This window comes from Homo sapiens, chromosome 4 (assembly GCF_000001405.40).
Source record: "Homo sapiens chromosome 4, GRCh38.p14 Primary Assembly".
Taxonomy (NCBI): Eukaryota; Metazoa; Chordata; class Mammalia; order Primates; family Hominidae; genus Homo; species Homo sapiens.
In genome coordinates this window covers 189,940,861-189,963,510 of record NC_000004.12, presented here as the reverse complement: position 1 = coordinate 189,963,510, position 22,650 = coordinate 189,940,861, and the positions used below count along the sequence as shown (strand labels likewise).

General features: G+C 35.9%; 1 protein-coding gene across 2 annotated transcripts, besides 1 other annotated feature; it reads right to left on the bottom strand.

Annotated features, from left to right (window-relative positions):
- Positions 319-22,639, bottom strand: FRG1 (FSHD region gene 1). Of its 2 annotated transcripts, NM_004477.3 has the most exons (9): positions 22,440-22,639; positions 20,239-20,309; positions 11,224-11,349; positions 10,386-10,443; positions 8,360-8,474; positions 6,009-6,113; positions 2,672-2,763; positions 1,579-1,689; positions 319-418 (listed from the first exon to the last, which is right to left on the bottom strand). In NM_004477.3, exons 1-9 carry the CDS (start codon positions 22,499-22,501, stop codon positions 382-384), a joined length of 777 nt encoding a protein of 258 aa, NP_004468.1. In that variant the 5' UTR covers positions 22,502-22,639; the 3' UTR covers positions 319-381. The 2 variants fall into 2 exon arrangements, with proteins under 2 accessions (NP_004468.1, XP_016863447.1); XM_017007958.2 differs by lacking the exons at positions 8,360-8,474; positions 10,386-10,443; positions 20,239-20,309; positions 22,440-22,639 and having other exon boundaries at positions 11,224-11,297.
- Positions 21,834-22,333: an enhancer, noted in NCBI's record as "H3K27ac hESC enhancer chr4:190862333-190862832 (GRCh37/hg19 assembly coordinates)". NCBI's record gives its function as "activates a minimal SCP1, AML or CMV promoter by ChIP-STARR-seq in naive H9 embryonic stem cells {active_cell/tissue: H9 hESC(naive)}" and the evidence as "EXISTENCE:reporter gene assay evidence [ECO:0000049][PMID:30033119]".

The window sequence follows — 22,650 nt, the reverse complement described above, 5'->3', positions numbered from 1 at the left end:
TGGATTGGGAGTTTCTAACTTCTATTAAAGGCACTGATTAAGCATCTATTATATAAAGTAAAGTAAGATTATGATCCAGTAAGACAGATTCCACAAGTAGCGCAGGAAGAATTGGTTTCTAGTACACTTCATGCTTCAGGACAGGAAATCCAGAAAAAAATTCTGTGGTACATTAAGTGTGAACTGTAAGTTTCATTTCCATGTGAAAAACTGTAGTTAGCTAAAAAGTACATCCATGAAGAATCCTGATTAAACTTGTTTAATCCTGGTTAAACTAGCTAAACAATAATTTCACAACTCAAGAACTCTGTAAAAGCATTTCCTCTGAATATTTTATTCAGAAAAAAACACAGAAAGATAAGGCAGAAACAAAAATCCCAGTCACTTGCAGTATCTGTCGGCTTTCAATTTGGCTCTCCTGTTTAAACAAAGAAAAATAAAATTAATCTATGTAAAACATGCCATATATATTCAACTGCTACTAAATATAAAAAGCTTTAAAACTGTGTGTTCAATTTTGGTTATTACCACAACACTTTTATTAAAATATGTATACTTTTAAATTTGGTTTCTATAAAAAATGGATTCTAATCTTATAAAAGTTATTTCCTAATATTCAATAAATGTTGCCTAAGGGCTTTTTCAATCCAAATAGCAATTTTAATTATTCCGGAATTTAAGGCTGCTCTAAATTTCCATTTAACAGGGTGAGAATGCTGTATTATTACAAGTGATAAAAGTTACAGGACATAGAGCTTATTCCGTTTTAGAGTCCACATCCTGATTATATTTTATATCCTCTTCTTGATTTCTTACAATGAGATACATATTCATTTGCTCAGCTGGAAAAAATTCTTAACATTATTTACTGACTTTAGGTATGAACACTACCAGCTAGTTAACAGGAAATACGTAATTAAACATTGCCTTTATCAAGTAATGTAAAAAAAAGGGTAAGAGTAACTTTGCAACATACGACTTGAATGAGCGGCTGGTGATTATCAAAATCTGGCACTTAATTGATTTATACTTGTACACTCACAGCTAAACGTCTCTGTTTTTCTATGTCATAAATCTAGGACATTACTTATCTACCTAGGAAGAGTAATAAATATTAATAATGTGGTATGATAAACATCCTGCACTCTTCCAAATCTTATAATAAAACTGCTTCAATTTCACTTGTTTAGCTTTTATACTTAGTTTTTTAGTTGATCTATTCTTATTTTAAGGAACCTGAACTACTCTAACAGAATCCACATAATTTTTATATTAGTCAAACTGCTTCTAACTCTGGTTCTAATAGTTATAAAAAGATGATAAATTTATGAAGTAGATACAGTCAAACCTGAATTTCTTCAAGTATATACTTAGAATCGGTTATAATTTTTAGATATTCTTTCATGACAGTCTTTTCCCAAACTTACGATGTCCTCTTTAGGTAATATTGCCACACTCATAAATTAGAAATAAAGACAAAAATGTGAAAAACTACAGTAATTTAAGAGAATGTAGGTTTTCTACATGCCATTTCTATTGGCTACTGAAAATAGTGGAAATAAGTAAATAAATAGCTACCTGTCCAGAAGCGTCTCATGCAAAAATCCATCTTTCCGAGCCTTTTTAAGAATTTTACTGTCTTCTTTACTTATTTTAAGTTTGTGGTCTTGGAAGCTCTGAAATTTCTTTCTGTAAAGAAAATGTCTTCATTGAAAAATACCTCAAACTCTGATTATACATATTTACTATTAAATTTATAAATACTGTTAATTTCTTTTTCACTTGTAAAAAAGTCTAATTGTAGGCCAGGCGCAGTGGCTCATGCCTGCAATCCCAGCACTTTGGGAGGCCAAGGCAGGCACATCGCTCAAGGTCAGGAGTTCGAGAACAGCCTGGCCAACATGGTGAAACCCCATCTCTACCAAAAATACAAAAATTAGCCGAGCATAGTGGCACGCGCCTGTAGTCCCAGCTACTCGGGAGGCTGAGGCAGGAGAATCACATGAACCTGGGAAGCGGAGGTTGCGATGAGCCGAGATCGCGCCATGGCACTCTAGTCTGGGGGAGAGAGCGAGACTCCATCTTGGGGGAGAAAAAAAAAGGTCTAATTGTATTTTTTTAAATAAGCTGGAGCTTTTCAACAAAGATGACCTTCATGACCTCTCAAGAGGAGGGCCACTCATTGACTGGGTAGCACAAGGCCCCACTTCTATTAGGGCATGCTGGCTAGAGTCCCCTGTGTCCTGGCCATAGCACAGCCTTTGACTGGCATCACACCCATTCTATGAATGAATAGAGAGATTGACTAACCTGAGTGACTAGCTTTGGGAGGTGGTAGGATGATTAGGAAAACTGAAGCCTCAAGAAAAGAAAAGCATTTAGCTCAGTGCTCTGTCCTAGAGGCTACATTGTGTCGTCTCTTCTTGTCCATCAGTTTCATTTTTTCAGACACGGTCTTGCTCTGCCACCCAGGCTGGAAGGCAGTGGTGATCAGAGCTCACTGCAGCCTTGAACTCCTGGGCTCAAACAATCCTCCTGTCTCAGCCTCCCGAGTAGCTGGGCCTATAGGCATGTACCACCATGCCCAGCTAAGTAGGTAATTTATTTTGAAAGCACTTTGAGAAGCACTTCACTGTCAAATCTGTAGGTCTAAAAGGAAAAGAATACATACACATAATTGATTTCACATTGTTTTACATTTCCTTTGTCTTCTTCTGGAATGTCATCTTTTTTCTTGGTTTCTCTTTCAGCACAGGATCTAATCTAGATATTGGAAAAGAGAATCCAATGGGTTATATGTTTATCTTCCACCTTCCCCACTTTACGTATCACATAAGAACATTCGAGATGATTTCTTATGCAGAAGAAAAAATTAACTGAGCAACTATATTCAGAAAAAGGTTCTGGCTATGTGTTTTTACTTCATATATATAATCTATATGAGTAAGTGCTATCACATGCTTCCTCCACAGCATTGTGTCAGAAACACTACAGACAAAATTATTTCAGAAACATTTTACACATCAGATCCTGCTAGGAAATAAAGCGATCATTAACTAATTTAATTTTGTCCTCCAAGTGAATACACTAGGATCAAATTATCCCTAGTAGACAAGTGTTCATTTGATCGGATTGAAAGCTTAATAGCTATTTTATGTTGCACAGACTATTACCAAAGTATTAAAACTTTTAACATTACACAACTTGTTTTTAACTAATTGGAACCCACCTCTTTTACTAGCTTCTTATATCCTCCTAAGTTTGGATAGATGTTTACTACCACATGTCATAAGTTAATTAATCTGCATTCAACAATTAGGATCACCCACAGAACAGGCAATTAGCAATGGTAAGGACTCATGTCTCCTAAGGGATCTCTGTGGCCAGAGTCCAGTTCCAGGGCTGCTTAGAAAGTGATGACAAATAACGTGTTTGTGCAAATGACATCTTTGTGACAGTTCTGATTAGAGGGGTCCCAGACCTGAAAACATTCCCTGCTAGGGCCTGTAACACAAGGCTACCTTTAGTAAGAGGGATCTGTGTTCTGGTCATAAAGCTGAAGGGCTGACAGAGGTAACACAAGGCTACCTTTAGTAAGAGGGATCTGTGTTCTGGTAGATAAGGCAAGGTCATAAAGGTGAAGGGCTGACAGAGATTAGGAGAGCCTGCAATTAAATGGTAAAGGAAAAGAGTCCTAAATAATCACTGTTCAGAGCTTCCAGGTACTTGACTAACCAAAGAGACCCAGAAAACTTTGTATTTCGTCTGAAAATTGCTTTAAATAGTGAAAAAGGCAATCTTTGTGTAAGTATCTTTGTATCTTTGTATAAGTGCAAAGCACTGCACATATATTTGCAATTGTTGCCTTCAGTAACACTTTTGTGATGATATCCAGATGCAAAATAATTTAAACATGATACAATAAAATATAAATAAATAAAATTAAATGTAAGTCACAAACCCATCTGCATTTCCCCAATGACCTGTTTCCTGAGAAGCAATGTGCTATGAAATATTGAGAGTGGCCTCTGGAGTCAGCTGGGCCTGGGTACACATCCTGTCTTACCACACCTTGAAATCACTGTGATTTCCATGAACTGACTGACAAAAACCACGAGGATGTAAGGAGGGTCAGAGGCTGTCTTCTTGTCTGTAATGCTGAGCTCACATCCACCTCACAGGGGCATTATGGAAATTCAAGACTACAACGCATGTGCTGGGTGCATGCAATGAAAAAATATAACATTTCCCTTCTGTAAGAAAATACCTACATTTTAGATTGAAATTGTTTGAGCTTTAGATTTGAAATTATTTGAAATCAAGACTATTCTAAAAAGAAAATCAAACTTATGACAGGAAATCTAACATGAAGTATGTACAGAGATTTGATAGATGCTTTTAAATTGCACTGGTAGTAGAGAAAAATGTAACATAAATTTTTATGCTCTAATTATAAGAACGAAGGGCATTTTAGAAAAGGCACTTGCCCCCTCTCTTAGAGCCTTCCACTCTGGCCCCCACAATGCCTTACAGAGGAAATCTGGGTCAGACTGGATGCAACCTGTGATTCCCAACAGAGACAAACAAAGCAAGGTTCAGGATGCTCAGTACTGAGATGGAATGCCAAGACACAGAAAAGCCATGTGTCAAGAAGTGGGGAGTTATTCTTTAGACACATCCTGGTATATGTTTATCATTAAAGATCAGTGGCTTCTGTGAGTCTAAAAAATTAAGCCTTAAATGTTTTCATCAGATTCCAATTAACTACTTGATTTATCTAGGTTATATTAACAGTATTATTTAGAATTTCACCTTGATATGAAGATGTCTGTGTAACTTTTACAATGATGTAAAACAAAGAGTAGGATTAGAGAGGGCACAGGCCACTGGTGCAATGGATAACGCGTCTGACTACGGATGAGGGAATTTAGCCTGGAATAAGGAACTTTTATTTCCAGCTTAGTGACGCACACAAATTTTAAAAATAAAATAAAAATCATGTTTTATGTGATTCATGTTTCTCCTAATGCAAAGAAGACGGGTACTATTAATAAAAATATTTTTAAAATCTGAGGGCTAAGGCCCCAGAAGTTCTGCTATGATTTTTTATGTTTCATAGAGTGATTATCATCACAGAAGCTCAAGCATTACGTAAATACAAACGCATATACCCCGACCTGGTAATTCTGCTTCTGGAAATTTACCTTCAGGTCCACCCGCACATCTACAAACTGATGCATATTCAATGTTATGTACTGCAGCACTGTTTATAAGAGCAAAAGACTGGAAACAGCCTAAATTTCCATCTATAAAAGACTAAATAAATTAAGGTACATCCCTGAAATGGAATATTATGTGGCTGTTGAGAGAGAGAGAAAGAGAGGAAAAGCAAGAAAAAGAGAAAACTTTCTACATTCAAACTCATAGTAGAAAACTCTCCAAGATACAATTTTAAGGAAAAAAAAAAATTGAAGTCTAGACTATAGAGGAGGCTACCTTTAGCGTAAAACAGTTGAAAATTATAAACATATTCATATGTTTATAAAGAAATTTTAGGAGGCTATAAAAAAACAAAGGGAAAGACGAACAGGTGCTGGGACACAGGTGAGTAAGACGCATGGCAGGCATACGTCTTCACATGCTTTTATTTGAAAATGTTGGACCACGTGTACATGTTATCTATTTTAAAAATTAGATTTTAAAATACAAGCAAGAAAACAAGAAAATGAAAGCTTAAAAAGAGCATGTGGAACTACCAGAAGAAGATACTAATCCATGGAGATAATGGCAAGGTAGCTCCTAGATGCACTCATTTCTCTACCACATTGTATAAACAAGACATCAACTATGGGATTTATAATTAAAAATGAGTCTATTTGAAACACCACATTATAAAAAGCTATTAAGTAAATCTTTAAAGTGACAGTAAATGACCATTTAACATTTTAAAGAGATACAGTCACATCGCATGTGTGAATGCAGTCATCTGTATAAAATGTCATCATTACCTTGATCATTTCTTCTTCTCCTGCTGTTTTACTTTTTGCTTCTATGTCCCCTGCTTCATTGCATCTAATAAAGCAGCTATTTGAGGCCAACAAAGCCATTTTCCCCTAAGTGAAACAAATAACAAAATAGCCATGAGGATACTTCTTGTGGGAGAAACATTAAGTGTTTAGACTGAATTAATTTTTCCTCCCTGATTTAAAAATCACAGAAAAGAACTTAGAGAAAAACCTGAAAAATATAATACAAGAACATATAGAAAAGAAACCAAAATCACCTATCATTTTACTATTCAAAGATTACCACAATAAACATTTGTAGTGTATCTTCCTAGTAGGACTAAATTCTAAGTAGATGAGGTAGGATTGCTTCCTTTCTAAAAGATCTACTGAAGACATAACTGATTTAGTTCAGTTTGAAAAATTAACTTTAAAGACAAGAACATAATTATGAATGCATACTTTATTCAAATATTAGCATTTTAAGTAAAATTTATTTTCTTCACAATTAGAAAACATGAAAAGGTACATACAATGCTTTGGTGTTTTGAATTTAAGAATCAATGTCTGAGGGACTTTTGTGTGTGAAAATAAATATTCATATACTTTTTTAGTTGTTTAATGTTTGATATATTACACTGCTTTCTATTAAAACTTTAAAGACTGATTTTCTTGTGTATCTAAATCTGGGTTATAAATTTGGTTAGCTTAACTCCCTTAACAAATATAATGTTTATTTATAACTTGTATTTGGTTGATTCTTTTGGAAAACTTGGAATACCATAACATTTAGACAAAATATTTATAAATACAATGATTACAAAATATGTTAACCTTATATCACATCAAGTTAAAAAAGTGCTGATAACATGGATTTAATTTCTTAGTCAAGGTCACAAGGGCTGGGTGGTCTCTCATCTGGATGGCTCCTGGTGAGCCCTGGAACATGGTGGTGTGGTCCAAGACGATTTAAACCTGTGCCACAGATTATTCAGCTGAGTCCCTTTTGCAATAGTTTTAAGACCCTCTTTCATTTAAATTTAAATTTTTGAAACTTAGTGTCCTTCCTAAAAATAAAATGAAACGAACTTTCCTAAAGTGTTGTATTATTAGTACTATCTAAGTCATCATCTAAGGCCTTATGATATATTGGCCTTTTCTACCGGTGTAACTTTTATTAGAAGTATCTCATCCTAACTAGTAGGATCATCTCAAAGGGGTTGCAACACATTAGCGGGTCATGAAATCAATGTAGTGTTGTTTCCTGTACGGTATGGGGGGCGGGGGAAGGAATACACACAGACTCACAGAGGAAGGGGTAAAAGAGAATAAGAAATATCAAGGTGCATAACACATGGATAAGTAAGTATTGTTAAGTACAACTCTTGCTTCAGTTATACATGTGTGCTGGGCTGCAATGTAAAAATGCATTTCTCAATGGGTTGGGCCAAAATAGTTTTCAAGTCACTGAGTTAAGATTTTATCCTAGGGGATGAGGAAATTAGTCTAAGTGATTACCTCTTTCTGGAGGGATGTTTGTTTAATCTGTCATCTTAGAAAACACTGCTGAGTTCCTATTTTCAATTCATTAGTGTATACTACCAAAGCTGCTACTCAAAGGCTAAGCTTATCTTCTATTTGCTTGCTCTGCGTGGTGCCCATTGGTCCTTACTGTTTTTGATAAAGTTATCTACTTTTTAAAGACTGTTTAGCACTCACATATTTTTGTTCAATCTTTACTTCTCACACAAACAGAAAAAGGAAATTATGTATTCTGTGTCAACAAAGATTTAACAAAACATCCATATACAACTGTCTACTTACTAAAATTAAGAATTAGTATATTATCTTTTTTCTTCTTATATTAAAACTATCTTTTCGTATGCTATTTTAAGCTTATGAACTGAAAGTCTTTTAGAGATAATTTACTTCAATGAACTATTATTATTTATTTTATGCACAAATTGTCACAACTTGGTCTTAGCAAGCTCCACTGTTCGCTTACAGTCTCTAATGTTTCTGAAAGCATCCATGATTTCTGCTACAAAGATACTTAGGAACTACTCTGTTTTCCTACTCTGAGACCTAAAATTGACTGGTTCTTCAATGGAAATGAGATCCATATCTAGGCACTAAGGGTATACAGAAATAATTGTGGGCAAAAGGACTAATGCGATTTTTGTTGCACTATATTTTGAGATCTCTTTAAGGCTCTATGTTCTTATTGATTTATTCCTATTTAATGTATTACACTATTGCATCCTACTTTTTCTTTTTAAATATATTATGATTGACTGTTAACAGACTTTCTGTTAAACTGACAGGAAGTTTTTATAAACAATAACAGCACTTACATTTTGAAAGACTGGTTCCCATTGTTCTCTTGGTCCAATTGCATCTGAACGCCCAACAACAAGTCCATCTGAATTTATACCAAGATATTTTCCATAGCCAGACTTCAGGGCGATTCTGTACATTAATAACATAGATAAAAGTTAAAGACTGAGAGAAAATTAATTATAGGACATCAAAACAGGACATGCGTATGTGTGTGGCTGTGTACATATCTAAAATTTCAGACTGCACATATTCCAAGTCTTCAAAAGCTGCATGTGGCTGAGTGGTGACTCACTCCTGTAATCTCTGTGCTTTGGGAAGCCAACGGGAGAATTGCTTGAGGCAAGAAGTTCAAGATCAGCCTGGACAACACAGTGAGACCCCATCTCTACAAAAAATTTAAAAAGTTAGCTGGGCATGGCGGCATGCACATGTGATACCAGCTACTTGGGAGGCTGACGCAGGAGGATTGCTTGAGCCCAGAAATTTGAGGTTATAGTGAGATACGGTCACACCACTGCACTCCAGCCTGGGTGACAGAGTGAGACTCTGTGCCTTTAAAAAAAAAAAAAAGAAAAAAGCTACATGTGACTAGTTGCTGCCATGTTGGACAGTGCAGTTTTAAATTTAGTTTTATATTGTGCTTTTTTAATATAAACATTGTACCTTATATATTACATAACAAATATTTTTGAAATTCATCATTCTTCAATTATACCTCTTTAGTTATAAAGTTCAAGAATAAATTACTAAAACTTACTTTTTCTCTTATTATAAATAGTTCTATGTACATCTATTCTGTACATAAAACTGCTTTATCCTTAGAAAAAATTCCTAGAAATAACTGGATCGAAGAGTATAAAGTTCTTATGTCATCAAACTGTTTTCCAGAAAATGCTGCTTCCATTTACATTCTTACCTCAAATTAACAGAGTATGTTTTGTATCACGCATTTTTTTTTAAACATTATGACTTTAAAAAAATACTTGAAAACCTGATATGGAAAAAACAGTATCCTATAAATTTGCATTTTAGTAGTTAACTAGAATAACAATTGTTTTTCTTTTCCTTTCCTTTTTAGTTTTTAGATTATCTGGTAATGTCCCTTGTCCATTTTTCTATTGAGATCTGATTGTTCGCAGTTTTTCTACTGGGGTCATCAGTGCTATGAATTCTATACAAGATACATATGAAGAGTAAGAACTCACTGCCTATTAAGATTGTTGCAAATATTTTCCTCATTTGTCAGTTAATTTTCTTTATAATCCTTTTTTGTTTATAATTGTAAAGCAGTTTAAAACTATTGAATTTTTTCTTCCTCTGCTTTTATTCTGTCTTTCACCATACTTATCAGACTTTCAAAGAAAGTACAGAAATAATCATCTTAATGTGATTTTTTAAAATTATGATTTCTAATCTTTTACCTTACCGAGAATCTCCTGGGATGCCAGAATTGACTTTTACTCCTTTATACATTAATGATTATATAACAGAAATCATTATCATATTGATGTAACCAATTACTAAAATATGTAAATTCACTTTCAGTATCTTCTGCCCAAAGAATCGTTCTATACTTTTGCACAAGGTGAGAATAAAAAAGGTTACTTTATAAAATGACTGTAAAAATAGTGAGTAAAAATATTCTTTTGGTCGTTATGATTCTGTAACATTCTCTGCTGGTTTCAACAATATTCCTTTTTTTAGTCTTCCTGTTTGCCTTTGGACTTCCAAACAGTGAGTTTAAATATCACAGCAACAGTGAACCAGGTTTTGTACTATTTGATTCATTTTTTAATCTATCTTATTCGGTATGTGAAATTATTAATCTTCACTTTTTAACTTATTTTTTTTCCAGCCTAGCATTATATATTGATAGGAAATCCATTAAAAGTAGATCACAAAATCTACTTTTCAAAAAAGCTATTTTGTTTTTTACATCAAAATTACCCTGTGGGCTTAAGACAGATACTAAAATTTTTAATGAATACAATTAAATTTTTAAAATAACTGGTTACTAATTATATTACAACATAAGCTCACCTGGAATCAGATAATTTGACAGCCGTAAACTGCTCTGGAGGACTAGGGCCCTCATCAACTATTGGAGAAAAAACATTTGAAAATAAATTTGACATTTGCTATAAATATAAAGACATTATTTTGTTTTAAAAAATGTGGCTATTTTCTTCTGCAATTAAATGTAAGAATATTCAGATATACTGATGTCACTGTAATACTGTATCTTTGGAATCAAGATCTATTTTACCTTCTTTTAACTACAGTGTTAATTTTATACACTGAGTAAGACAGGGTGATATAATGCTTATTTAATAACTTTTGAGATAGCTTCTCTTTATGTTTTAAAATACAGTCATAAATAAGCACTTATTTAAAAAGCTAAATGCTTTCACTTATTCAAGGGATGGCCTTGCTGACCAAATGATACTGCTTTTTATCTTCTAATTACTTCATATCTCATTAGTGCTTCCTCTAATGGGCTAAAGAAAATGAGGAAACTTCAAACTGTTAAACGCACCCAGGTTAGTTTTGGCAATAGGTCTGAATAAAAAAGAAATTCAAACATTTTGACTCAAATAGGTTTTCTTTTTTCTTTCCACTTACTATTTTAATTATTCATGTTATTTTGATTTCCAAAGATACTCTTCTGGAACTATACGGAATGTTTTCAAATGCTTATATTAGAAAGAGGGACTTGCCAATGGCTGGTAAATATTAAGGAATTAAAAAAAAATGGAAGAGTCAAATGCAATGGTTCCATTCCTTTGGAAAATGTTTGAGACTAGTTAGAGTTTGGCCTAAGTGAATGAATGTCCTAAAATCTACACTTGTGGCAGCCTCTTCCCTTCCAGACACAAACCTTCTTTGTGTGGAGCTCCCAGGGTAAAAAGACCATTGTCGAGTGCATGTATATAGGTTCCCTTATCCATTTCAATGGCTATGGTTCCTGAAATTTCACCAAAGTTTGTTACTGTCCACCAGATTCCTAAAAAATAAAATCAATATTTCAACTTTATATTTTAGTTTTGACACAGAGTTCTTTTTTTTGTTATTATAACTTAATTTTAAAAACTTCTTATTTTGCAGTTGTAAGAAATAATACAAAGATCTCACATATTCTTTACTCACTTTGTCTCGATTAAATCTTGCATAAGTATCATACACTGTCAGAATCAGGAAACTGAAATTGATATAATCCATGAAGCTTATTCAGATTTCACCAGTTTTACATGTACTTGTTTGCATGTATGTGCAGAGATTCATGCGACTACCAGCACAGTCAGGATTAGGTTTTTAAAACATAAAATAGCAACATACAGCCAGGCATGGGGGTGCATGCCTGTAATCTCAGCTACTCGGGGAGCTGGGGAAAGAGGATCACTTGAGCCCAGAGTTCAACGTTATAGTGAGCTATGATCATGCCACTGCACTCTAGCCTGAGTGACAGAGCAAGGTCCTGTCTCAAAAAAAGACCAAAACAAAACAAGAGGCAACATGTGAAGGTACAAAGTGACATATAGAGAATGGTCTCTCTCATGATAGACCCCAGTCATCTATTTCATGCCTGCTTTCCAGAGCCAATGCCTATCATAATGTTTCTTAAAAATGCCTCTACAGGAAGACTTTCTAGCATAGCAATCTTTTTTTTTTTTTTTTTGAGACGGAGACTCGCTCTGTCGCCCAGGCTGGAGTGCAGTGATGCGATCTCGGCTCACTGCGACCTCTGCCTCCCGGGTTCAAACAATTCTCTGCCTCAGCTTCCCGAGTAGCTGGGGTTACAGGCGCCTATCACCATGCCTGAATAATTTTTTTTGTATTTTTAGTAGACACGGGGTTTCACCACATTGGCCAGGCTGGTCTCAAACTCCCGACCTCGTGATCCACCCGCCTCTGCCTCCCAAAGTGCTGGGATTACAGGTGTGAGCCACCGCGCCTGGCCAGTAATCTTAACTATGATTTTAGATTGAAAGTAAAATGAGCAGAATCTATGTCTATGTATACTAATTTCCAATTTGCCAATAGAAATATTAGACTCTAGGAACAATTATTTAAGCCGTTGTTATAAAAGTTTATATCTTAATGTTAAAAAATATCCTCAAACCTCCTCCTAAATTGTACTTTAGCTAGAGTAGAAATGAGTCAATCATTAACTGGATATGACATATTAAGGAATTCTTGTTAATTTTACAAGGTCTGATAATGACATAGTATAATATATAAAAATAAAGAACAAAACAGGTGATGACAGAAAGACATACCACGTTAAGAAATGTACGTTTATGTACTCATGGGTAAAATGACATAACATCTGTGATTTTACTTAAAATTTTCTAAGAAAAAATGTGTGTGGGGGCATGTGTGTAAATGAAATGAGATTGGCAAAATATTGATAATTAATGCTGGGGCCTGGGCACATGGGGGACTCATTATATTCTTCTATGTATGGAATAGTTTGGATATTTCCATAATAAAAAGGTTTTAAAGATTCAGTTAATTCCACTGCACAAAATTTTCTATTCAACTAAACATTTCATGCTTTCCATAATAAATTTTAAAATACATAAAATTTTAGCTAAAATGAAGTTGGACCCTTATCTAATGCCAAATACAAAAAGTAACTTAAAACAGACCAAAGACCTAAATGTAAGAGCTAAAGTTAGAAAACTTTTAGAAGAAAATGGGAAAAGCTTCACGACATGAATTTGGCAATGATTTCTTATGTAGAACATCAAAGGCACAGGCAACAAAAGAAAACGTGGACAAACTGGACTTCATCAGAATTAAAAACTTTTGTGCATCAAGAACCGCCATCAACAGAGTAAAAGGCAACCCAGGGAATGGAGAAAATATTTGTAAACTACATACATTATAAGGAATTAATATCCAGACTATATAGAGAACTCCAAAAAGACAAATACCACAATTCAAAACTGGGCAAAGGATATACACGGACATTGCTCCAAAGATGATATACAAATGGCCAATAAGCACTTGAAAAGACGCTCAACATCACTAGTCACTAGGGAAATATAAATCAAAACCATAATGCAATACCACTTCACACCCATTAGAATAGCTATTATCAAAACAAACAAACAAACAAAAAACAGAAACCAAGAAAGCCAGAAAAACAAATGTTGGGCAGGATGTGGAGAAACGGAAACCCTGTGCAATGCTGGTGGGAAGGTAAAATGGTGCATGTATTTAAATGCCACTGAAGCATACACGTAAAAATAGAAAAACTGGCAAATTCTATATTCTGTATATTTTACCTCCACACACACACAAAACCAATGGAGAAAAAGAAAATTAATCAAAATTAAAATTTCAGCTAAAGACAATTAAAAAGAAATAAAACTAATAAGCAATTTAGATGATTGAATTATAGCTACAATTGTTTTCAGGAAAAGAAATAATGCTTTATTCAGAATCATTATCAACAGTGTTATGATTAGCAAGTCTTTCTTATAAATATAATAGTTAATGATTTTAAATTAGATTTATTTTGTATGTTCTATGCCACATTGACCAAGTACACTTAATATTAAATAAAATCATTTAAATATAATAACTCATTAATGTTTTGCAAATGAAGAAGAAATTTCTGGCAGACAAGCTCCTTAAAATTTTCACACTCTGTCCAAGTAGGGAAATGATACAATAACGTTACTTTAATATTGTCAACTGAAAAAGAAATTACTTTGAGCAGATGCCAGTATTTTTTCTCAATGCAATTTCAAAGAATAAGAAATATAAACACAGTATCATCAAGAATTAAATGTGAGCATTCTGCCTACTTTCTGCAAGTGGCCTACATTCAACCTTTGGAGGTATGCTTATATGTTTATCGACTAAAGTAACATAACATAATACTTAATGGTGCCACTCTGGGGTTTTAGCTGTGAGAAAGCAGTGGATCCTATGAACACGGGCACTGAAGTTGCCTGTCTCTACGTCAGGTGACAGCTCAAGCTGTGTATATGGTGCAGATGCCCAAGCTGAATTTAAGAGAATCCGCTCTAAAACATTACTTGCTATTTAGACACATGCTTAAAGTTATTTCCTTTTAAACCTTAGGCAGATGGTGAAATATTCCTGCTGTGTTGTCTCACAATGCATGAGAAAGCTTTACACATATTGTCACATAGTTTAGAATGTTTACATATGTCTGGCATGCCTGTAATCCAGCACTTTGAGAGGTGGAAGCAGGAGAATCACTTTAGCCCAGGAGTTCAAAATCAGCCTAGGCAACAAAAGGAGACCCCCATCTCTACAAAAAAATTAAGAAATTAGCTGGGTGTGGTGGTACGAGCCTGTGGTCCCAGCTACTCGGGAGTCGGAGGTGAGAGGATTGCTTGAGCCTACGAGGTCGAGGGTGCACTGAGCCACGATCATGTCACTGCACTCCAGCCTGAGCAACAAAGCAAGAGCCTGTCTCAAAAAAAACAAAACAAAAAAATGGCCCAATGCACCAGTGTCATGGCTGATAAGATAGTACCAGGGCACCCTCATTCTAGCATCAAGGCTGTGTGACAGCTCACCTCACCTTCTGACTAACCCAGTGCTTCCGTGCTAAGGGCCCCCTTAAATCTCTACTATCATTATGTGCTTGGCACAAAGGAATGATATATCTTAGATTTGGAAATGGAATTTTCTTCCCCAATCTTACTGTAGTCTAAGTACCCTTCACAGACCTTCTATTAATCCACAGCTGACTTAGCTTTAGTTCCTGGGTAAATAAAATATATGTGTTTTGCAAAGTACGATGTTGTAAGTCCAACTGCTTCTGAATCTAGCAGAGCTCAGTGAAACTCTTTGCCTACAGACATGCTCGTTTTTATTAATGTCACACTTGGTTTTCTCCATGTGAAAGACAGAATTTCTTTCATCCTATTTACCAATCCCTTCAGATCCTTGTGAGGAACCAACAGAACAGCTTTAAAAAATTAAAAGGTTTTTTTTCTTTCCCTTCACAAATAGGCACATGCTTACTTATACGGCAAGTTTAGAAAATCCACAATGCAAAACCATGTGGAAGGACAAAGAGAAAAAGACGCAGAAGGACTTCCTCTTCCAGCCAAGATGGACTTGCCCTCCCACCATGACCAACGAGAAAACTGAAACTGGATAGAATATTTGAGAAAACTGTTTTCAGAGATTGGAACACAGGCAGAACAGGACTGTGATATTTGAGAACAGGAAAACACTGGAGGCAAATCTCATACACACTTGTGTTTTCTGCCCAATGGCAGTTTCTTGACCACACGGAGAGAGGTAGAGACCTCCAGAAATGAGGCAATGTCACTGTCACTAAGCTGAGAGTCTTACAGTGCTAACATGTTGGGAGTTTATAGAATAAGGTACTGGAGAAGAGGGAACTACATACAGGTGAGGCCTCAAAAGAGTACGCAAAAGTTCTCTGCAGGTCTGTGGCCAAGGGCTGGGGGGAGTGCATGCAGCAGGCAGGCTCCACAAGGCCTCTGCAGAGTGGCTGGCACTTCTGAGGGCTGACTGGAGATGCCAGAGATCACACAAATTTGGGACACAGCAGAGTGGAGAGAACTCACTAAGTATACCTAGAACATGTGGCTGAGGCCCATGAGGATGAACCTTTCCTAGACTAAGAGTCACTGTCTAAGTCTACGAGCAAAACCCTAATAAATAAGCACAAACTAACAAAGGCCCAGGCTTGACAGGAGCAAAAGGGTGGTCAAATAATTTGACTAGGCATCAAGACATTTAACAGAAATAAGGTTAAAATGTTATGAAAATGAAAGACTGAATTTATAAGGAAGACTTAACAATCCTAAATGTGTACACATGACGGCTTCAAAATACTTTAAGCAAAAACTGCTCAAGTAGACAGATCTAGAATTACCGCTGGAGATTTTAACATAACTATCAATACACTGTAGCATTAGTAAAAAATCAGTAAGGACACAGAAGATATGCATAGTCACAAGCTCTACCAGTTGATCTAACAGACATCTAAAGAACACTGAACTGGCCGGGCACCGCGGCTCACGCCTGGATCCCGCCGAGGCGGGAGGATCACCTGAGGTCAGGAGTTTGAGACCAGCTTGGTCAACGTGGTGAAACCCTGTCTCTACTAAAAATATTTAAAAAATTAGCCGGGTGTGGTGGCAGGTGCCTGTAATTCCAGTTACTCCGGAGGCTGAGGCAGGAGATTCACTTGAACCTGGGAGGCGGAGGTTGCAGTGAGCCGAGATTGCACCACTGCACTCCAGCCTGTTGGGCAACAGCGAGACTCCATCTCCAAAAAAACAAACAAACAAACAAACAAAAAACCCTGAACCAACATCTGCAGAATACACATTCAAGTCTACATGGAAATTCACTAAGAAAGTATGTTCTCCAACTATACTATAAATGAATTAGAAATCAGCAACAATAACATACCTATAATATCTCTATGTAGTAGAAATTAAAAACAATATACTTTTAAATAACTCACGTGTCCATGAAAAGAAAAATCACAAGGAAAACTAGATGATATTTTGAATGGAATGAAAATGAAAACAAAATGTGTTGACTATAACTGAAACTAAAGTGGAATGAAGAGATCTAACTCCCTTCCTAAGAAGCAATAAAACAAGAGCAAAGTAAACTGAAAATAAGTTAAAGGGAGGAAAAAAATAAAAGACTGAAAATAAATGAAATAGAAAATGAAAAAAAGAGAAAATAAGTAATATTGAAACAGGCTTGTCCAACCTGAGGGCCACATGTGGCCCAGGCCAGCTGTGAATGCAGCCCAACACAAATTCATAAACTTTCTTGAAATATTATGAGATTTTTTTGCTTTTTTTTTTTTTTTGGCTTATCAGCTTATCGTTAGTGTATTTTATGTGTGGCCCAAGACAATTCCTCTCCTTTCATTGTGGCCCAGGGAAGCTAAAAGATTGAATACACCTGTACTAAACGATCATTAACGATCTAAAATAAATGATCTTGTAAAGAATTGAGAAACCTCCAGCTAGACTGACTGATCCAGGAAAACATAGCAAAAACACAAATTACCAATATGAAGAGACTGCAATACAGATGAGATTCTACGGACATTAAAAGCATATTAAAGGAATATTCTGAACAATTCTATGCCAATAAATCCAACAACTTAGATGAAATTTTCTTAAAAGACACAAATTGCCAAAACTGACACAACAGAAAAATCTGAAAATATCTCTTAAAAAATTTTAATTTTCCCACAAAAAACTAAAACCAAACCAAACAAAACCCTCCGGGTTCAGCTGACTTCACTGGTGAATTCTATCAAACATGTAAAGAACAACTCATACCCATCTCTACACAGCTATTTCCAAAAATAGGAAAGGAGACAGCACTTTCCATCTAATTTTGTGACACCCAGTATCACCTTGACACCAAAATCAAAAAAAGACATTACAAGAAAAGGATACAAAAGTCCAATATCTCCCATCAACACCAATATAGAAATCTTAAAAAAAAACAAAAAACACAAACACCTAGAAATCAAATCTAGCAATATCCCAAAGGACAACGCACCACAACCAAGTGGGGTTTATCTCAGGGATGTAAAGTTAGTTTAAAAGTTGAAAATGAAACCAATATAATCCACTGGCAGAATGAAGAAAGCTGTATAATCATCTCAACAGATACAGAAAGAGGCATCTGACAGCATTAAACATCGTTATGATAAAAACTCCCAAGAAACAAAGTTTTAAAAGGAATGTCCTCATTTTGATAAAAGTTTTCTCTGCAGATCCTACAGACGTCATACCATATGGTGGACTACTGAAAGCTTTCTGCCTAAGCTTGAGAGCAATGCAATTATGCCCATTCTCATGACTTCTGTTCAATGCTATAGAAGTCCTGGACAGTATAATAAACCAATAAAAAGAAAGACAAGACAAAAGGATTAGAAAGAAAGAAGTAAAACGATAGTCACAGGAAACATAATTGCAAATTTCTTAGTTTTCTATATAAGCAAACCACTAGAAGTAATAAGTGAAACAGACTTAGACTACAAAGTCACTATACAAAAATCAATTGTATATCTACATACTGACAGCAAACAACTGGAAAATCAAATTCAAAGGTTCTATTGACAGTAATGTAAAATTATAAAATACTTAAGAATAAATGTTTAAACAGGCATGCAAGATGGCTACATTGAAAATTATGAAATATTGAGGCCCAATATTAAGATGTTGATCTCCCCCAAATGATCTGGACTCAATACAGTTCTCGAGAAAATCCAACAAACTTCACTGCAGAAATTAATAAATTAACAGTTAATAAGTACAAAGTCGGAGGACTCACACTACCTGATCTCAAGACTTCATGAAATTATAGCAATCAAGAGAAATATACCAACAGAAAAACAGACAAACGTATCGATAGAACAGAGTCCAGAAACAGACCAATACATAGAAAGTTAATTGATTTTTTATGAAGATACCAAAGTGGATTAATGGAAAAAGGAAACACCAGTGGTGCTGGCACAACTGGCTATCAAGATGTTTAAAAAAAAAAAGTAAATCTTGAAACCGAACTCACAACATCATGCCAAAATTTAATTTGAGATGAATGACAGATTTAATGTAAAAACTAAAACTATGATGCCTCTAAAAGACAATGTAGAATATTTTCCTGACTTTGGGGTAAGCAAAGATCTCTTAGATCAAAGACATAAGACAGTAACCATAAAAGAAAAAAAAAATAAACTGAGCTTTATAAAAATTAAAAGCTTCTGACCATCCTGGCTAACATGGTGAAACCCTGTTGCTACTAAAAACACAAAAAATTAGCCGGGTGTGGTGGCAGGCACCTGCACTCCCAGCTACTCGGGAGGCTGAGGCAGCAGAATGGCATGAACCCGGGAGGTGGAGCTTGCAGTGAACCGAGATCGCATCACTGCATTCCAGCTTGGGAGACAGAGTGAGAATTTGTCTCAAAAAAAAGCTGCTCATCCAAAAACCACCATTAAGAAACTGAAAAGGTAAAACTCAGACTGGGAGAAAAGACTGATAACACCATCAACTCTTGGCAAGGATGTAACTGGAGCACTAATTCATTCTTGGTAGGAGGGTAAAATGGCACAACCACTTTAGAAAACTTTTGGCATTTTCTTATATAGTTAAACATTCACCTATCCTTTGACACAGCAATTCCACATCTACATATCTACCCTAGATATTTACCCTAATTTTAGAATTGTTGATTTGCCATTTTGAAAGCAATGATTCTTCCAGAACATTAGCTTTATACCATTCCATATTTTATATATTAAGTTACCATAATTTATGAAGATTCAAAATGCAACTTGCCAAGTTTTAAAAGAGAAAAAAATATGTATGGAAAAGAACTAAACGGAAAACAGGCTGGTTAAGTGTGTTTAGGTCAGTTTATTTCTAGTATCATTTACAGGCTACCCTGATGTTGTATTTAAAATTTTCATTCATTTCAGAGTTCACAAAATAATGATTTTTCCTGTGAAGATACTTCCTTTAAGAGACAACCGACTTCTACAATTAAAATGCATACATGTGCAAAGAAAATAACTTGTAAAAGATATTTGGTTGAATAACATTTACATTAGGCCTTTAAAATTATGTATTAGAATCTCTGGCTATTAAGCAGTCTAATGGTGCCTACTAAGTCAGAGAGTTATAATTTTTCTCTCCTGATAATGAAGTAAAGGCATCAGTAGCATCTACTGTGTTAAAGAATAAATGGAATTTATAACTGTAGGTAATATTTAAGCACTTTAAGACAAATATGAATACATCATAAATTTCTAACTAGGAAAACACTTTCAAGGAGATCTCAAGAAACATTAACTTTTTTCAGAATAGAGCACTGAAAACTGACTCACCAACAATATCAAGCTGGGTTTCTTCATCTTCTTCTCTTTTTCTTTTCTTATCTTTGCTCTTTTTCTTCTTACTACAGGACATAATTTATATAGACGAGTTTAGGTATATTGATTTGTACGATAAATATTGTAAGATTGAAACTTGAAAGTCTTTTAAGCTGTTTCATTTATAAATTATTGATTTAGGAAGACTTACATTGATATGCCCTCTTAAATACAGTACTGAGAAGTTGCTTCAGGCTTTGCACATATTACGTTAGAGTTCAAAGCAGATTGTAGAGCCACACTGCCAGATTTTAAATCCTGATTCTTTCACTTCTTAGCTCCGTGATTTTTGGAAAAGGTACTGAATCTCTCTGAGTCAGTTTCCCCACTTAAAAAATTAGGATAGTAACTTAACCTAACTCTTAAGGCTATTGTGAGGATTAAGAGGTAATATGTACCTTCACACATTCCTGGTGGAAATGTAAAATGGTGCAGCATCTACAGGAAACAGTTTGGGGTTCCTCAAAAAGTTAAAGTTACCACATGACCCAGCAATTTTACTCCTAAGTATGTATACCCAAGGGAAATGAAAACATACACCCACAAAAATACTTACATAAGAATATTCACACTAGCATTAGTCACAATAGCCAAAAAGGGGAAACAACCCAAATGTTCATCAGTTGATGAATGGATGAACAAAATGATACATCCATACAATGGAATACTATGCAGCCATAAAAAGGAACAGGCGCTACAACAATGATGAACCTCAATAATGTTATAAGTGAAAGGAGCCAGATACAAAAGGCCACATGTTGCATGATTTCTTAGGAAATATTCAGAATAGGCGATTTCACATAGAGAGCGGATTAGTGGTTGCCAAGGACTAGGAGAGGGGGAGGATGGGATGTGACTGCTTTAATGGGTAGGGGGAGATTTCCTTCTGAGATGATGAAAATGCTGAGCAACTAGACAGTGGTGAACCTCTTGAATATATACTAAAAACCCCTGACTGTACAAAAGGGTGAATTTTATAATTATGAATTATATCTCAATAAAAAAATAAAAAACCAAGAGTGATTTGAAAAAAAGTTAATGTGCAAAGTGCCTACAACAATTTCTTGGCACATTGACAGTGCTATATGAGCATTAATTATGATTATTACGATGATCTTAAGACACCCGTGTCTGCATTTTCATTATAAAGTTTTCAGAAGATAACTCTCCTCTCCTCCCAGGAAATTCACAGAGTAAAAATCTCACATTCATTCAGGATAAACCTGCCATTTATTCTGGCATCTTCATGAGGCCAGACTCCTCGAGAGGGTTCTCAAGGCCAGTGGCTTCAACTCACTCCTTGATACTTTCTATCTCGCCTAAAAATATCAAAACCTCTGTTTATCACGGAGACCAGGAGGAAATACTCGACATTTGTATGTACCTCGGGCAAATCTGCCAGTTAAAAAAGAAGCGGGGATATGAGTGCACAGGTATTTTTTCCTAAAAAGCTAATAAATTACCATTACGACCTCCTCCTCACATTTGGCTCAATTTATTTTCTGCATATATGTTCTCTCATTTAATCCTCACAGTCTTCTAAAAGTATAAAAAACGTCTGAAAGTATAAATGTGTAAACGGAGGTTCAGATATTTGATCTCTTAATGAGTAAATGGAAGTTCAGACATATTAACCAATTTGCCACAAATTACAAAACTAGTAAATGACAAGAGTGCAGGTTCGAGCCCATATCCCTAAAGCCCATATACACCTCAACCACTGTGTGATTCATCCTGGTTTCACTGTACATATTAGATTAGAAAAAATTAATAAGTTTTCTAGAAAGAAAAGAGACAATGGAGAAAATAATAATCCCTAATAAAGGAAATTATCATGAACTACGAGATCAGACTAATGCAGACCCCCCAGGCAGAGGCCTGGAGAGATGCCTCAGGGGACCCAAACTCGTGGGTACGGGGTCACGGGTCACCTGCCCGTCTATCCTGTTTCCAGGGTCGTCCGCGCGGGAGGCTGCCCCTCTCTGCACAGACGCCGGGAACCGCGGCCCGGCCTCCGTCCAGCCCGGACAGGGGCCAGGGCGAAGCCTGGGAGGCCACAAAGCCGGCTCTCCGCGCCACGGCTTCCACCGGAGTTGCGGGGGTGGAGTGCGTCCGAAAAGAACGGAGGAGGCTCCCGCCCAAGCTGCAGGACCCACCTCTTCGTCTTGGTTCCCTTGAGCACGAGCTTGGTAGACTTCACGTAGGAGTACTCGGCCATGGCTCCGGGAAACTTCTGCGCGGAGAGGCTGAGGCCGGTTCTGGACGAGTATGTGAGTCGGGGCAGCACAGGGGCGCGGAGAAACAGAAGCGGACGCGAAATAAACACTCCCTGACAGCCTACGTCTCTGTAGAACCCGCCTCCGTCTT

Coding starts and splice junctions, on each gene's coding strand:
- FRG1 (NM_004477.3), bottom strand. CDS start 22,501: ATGGCCGAGTACTCCTACGTGAAGTCTACCAAGCTCGTGCTCAAGGGA. Junction 20,310..22,439: donor AAGGGAACCAAGACGAAGAG/GTGGGTCCTGCA, acceptor TATGTCCTGTAG/TAAGAAGAAAAAGAGCAAAG. Junction 6,114..8,359: donor GGGAACCAGTCTTTCAAAAT/GTAAGTGCTGTT, acceptor TGTTTCACTTAG/GGGAAAATGGCTTTGTTGGC.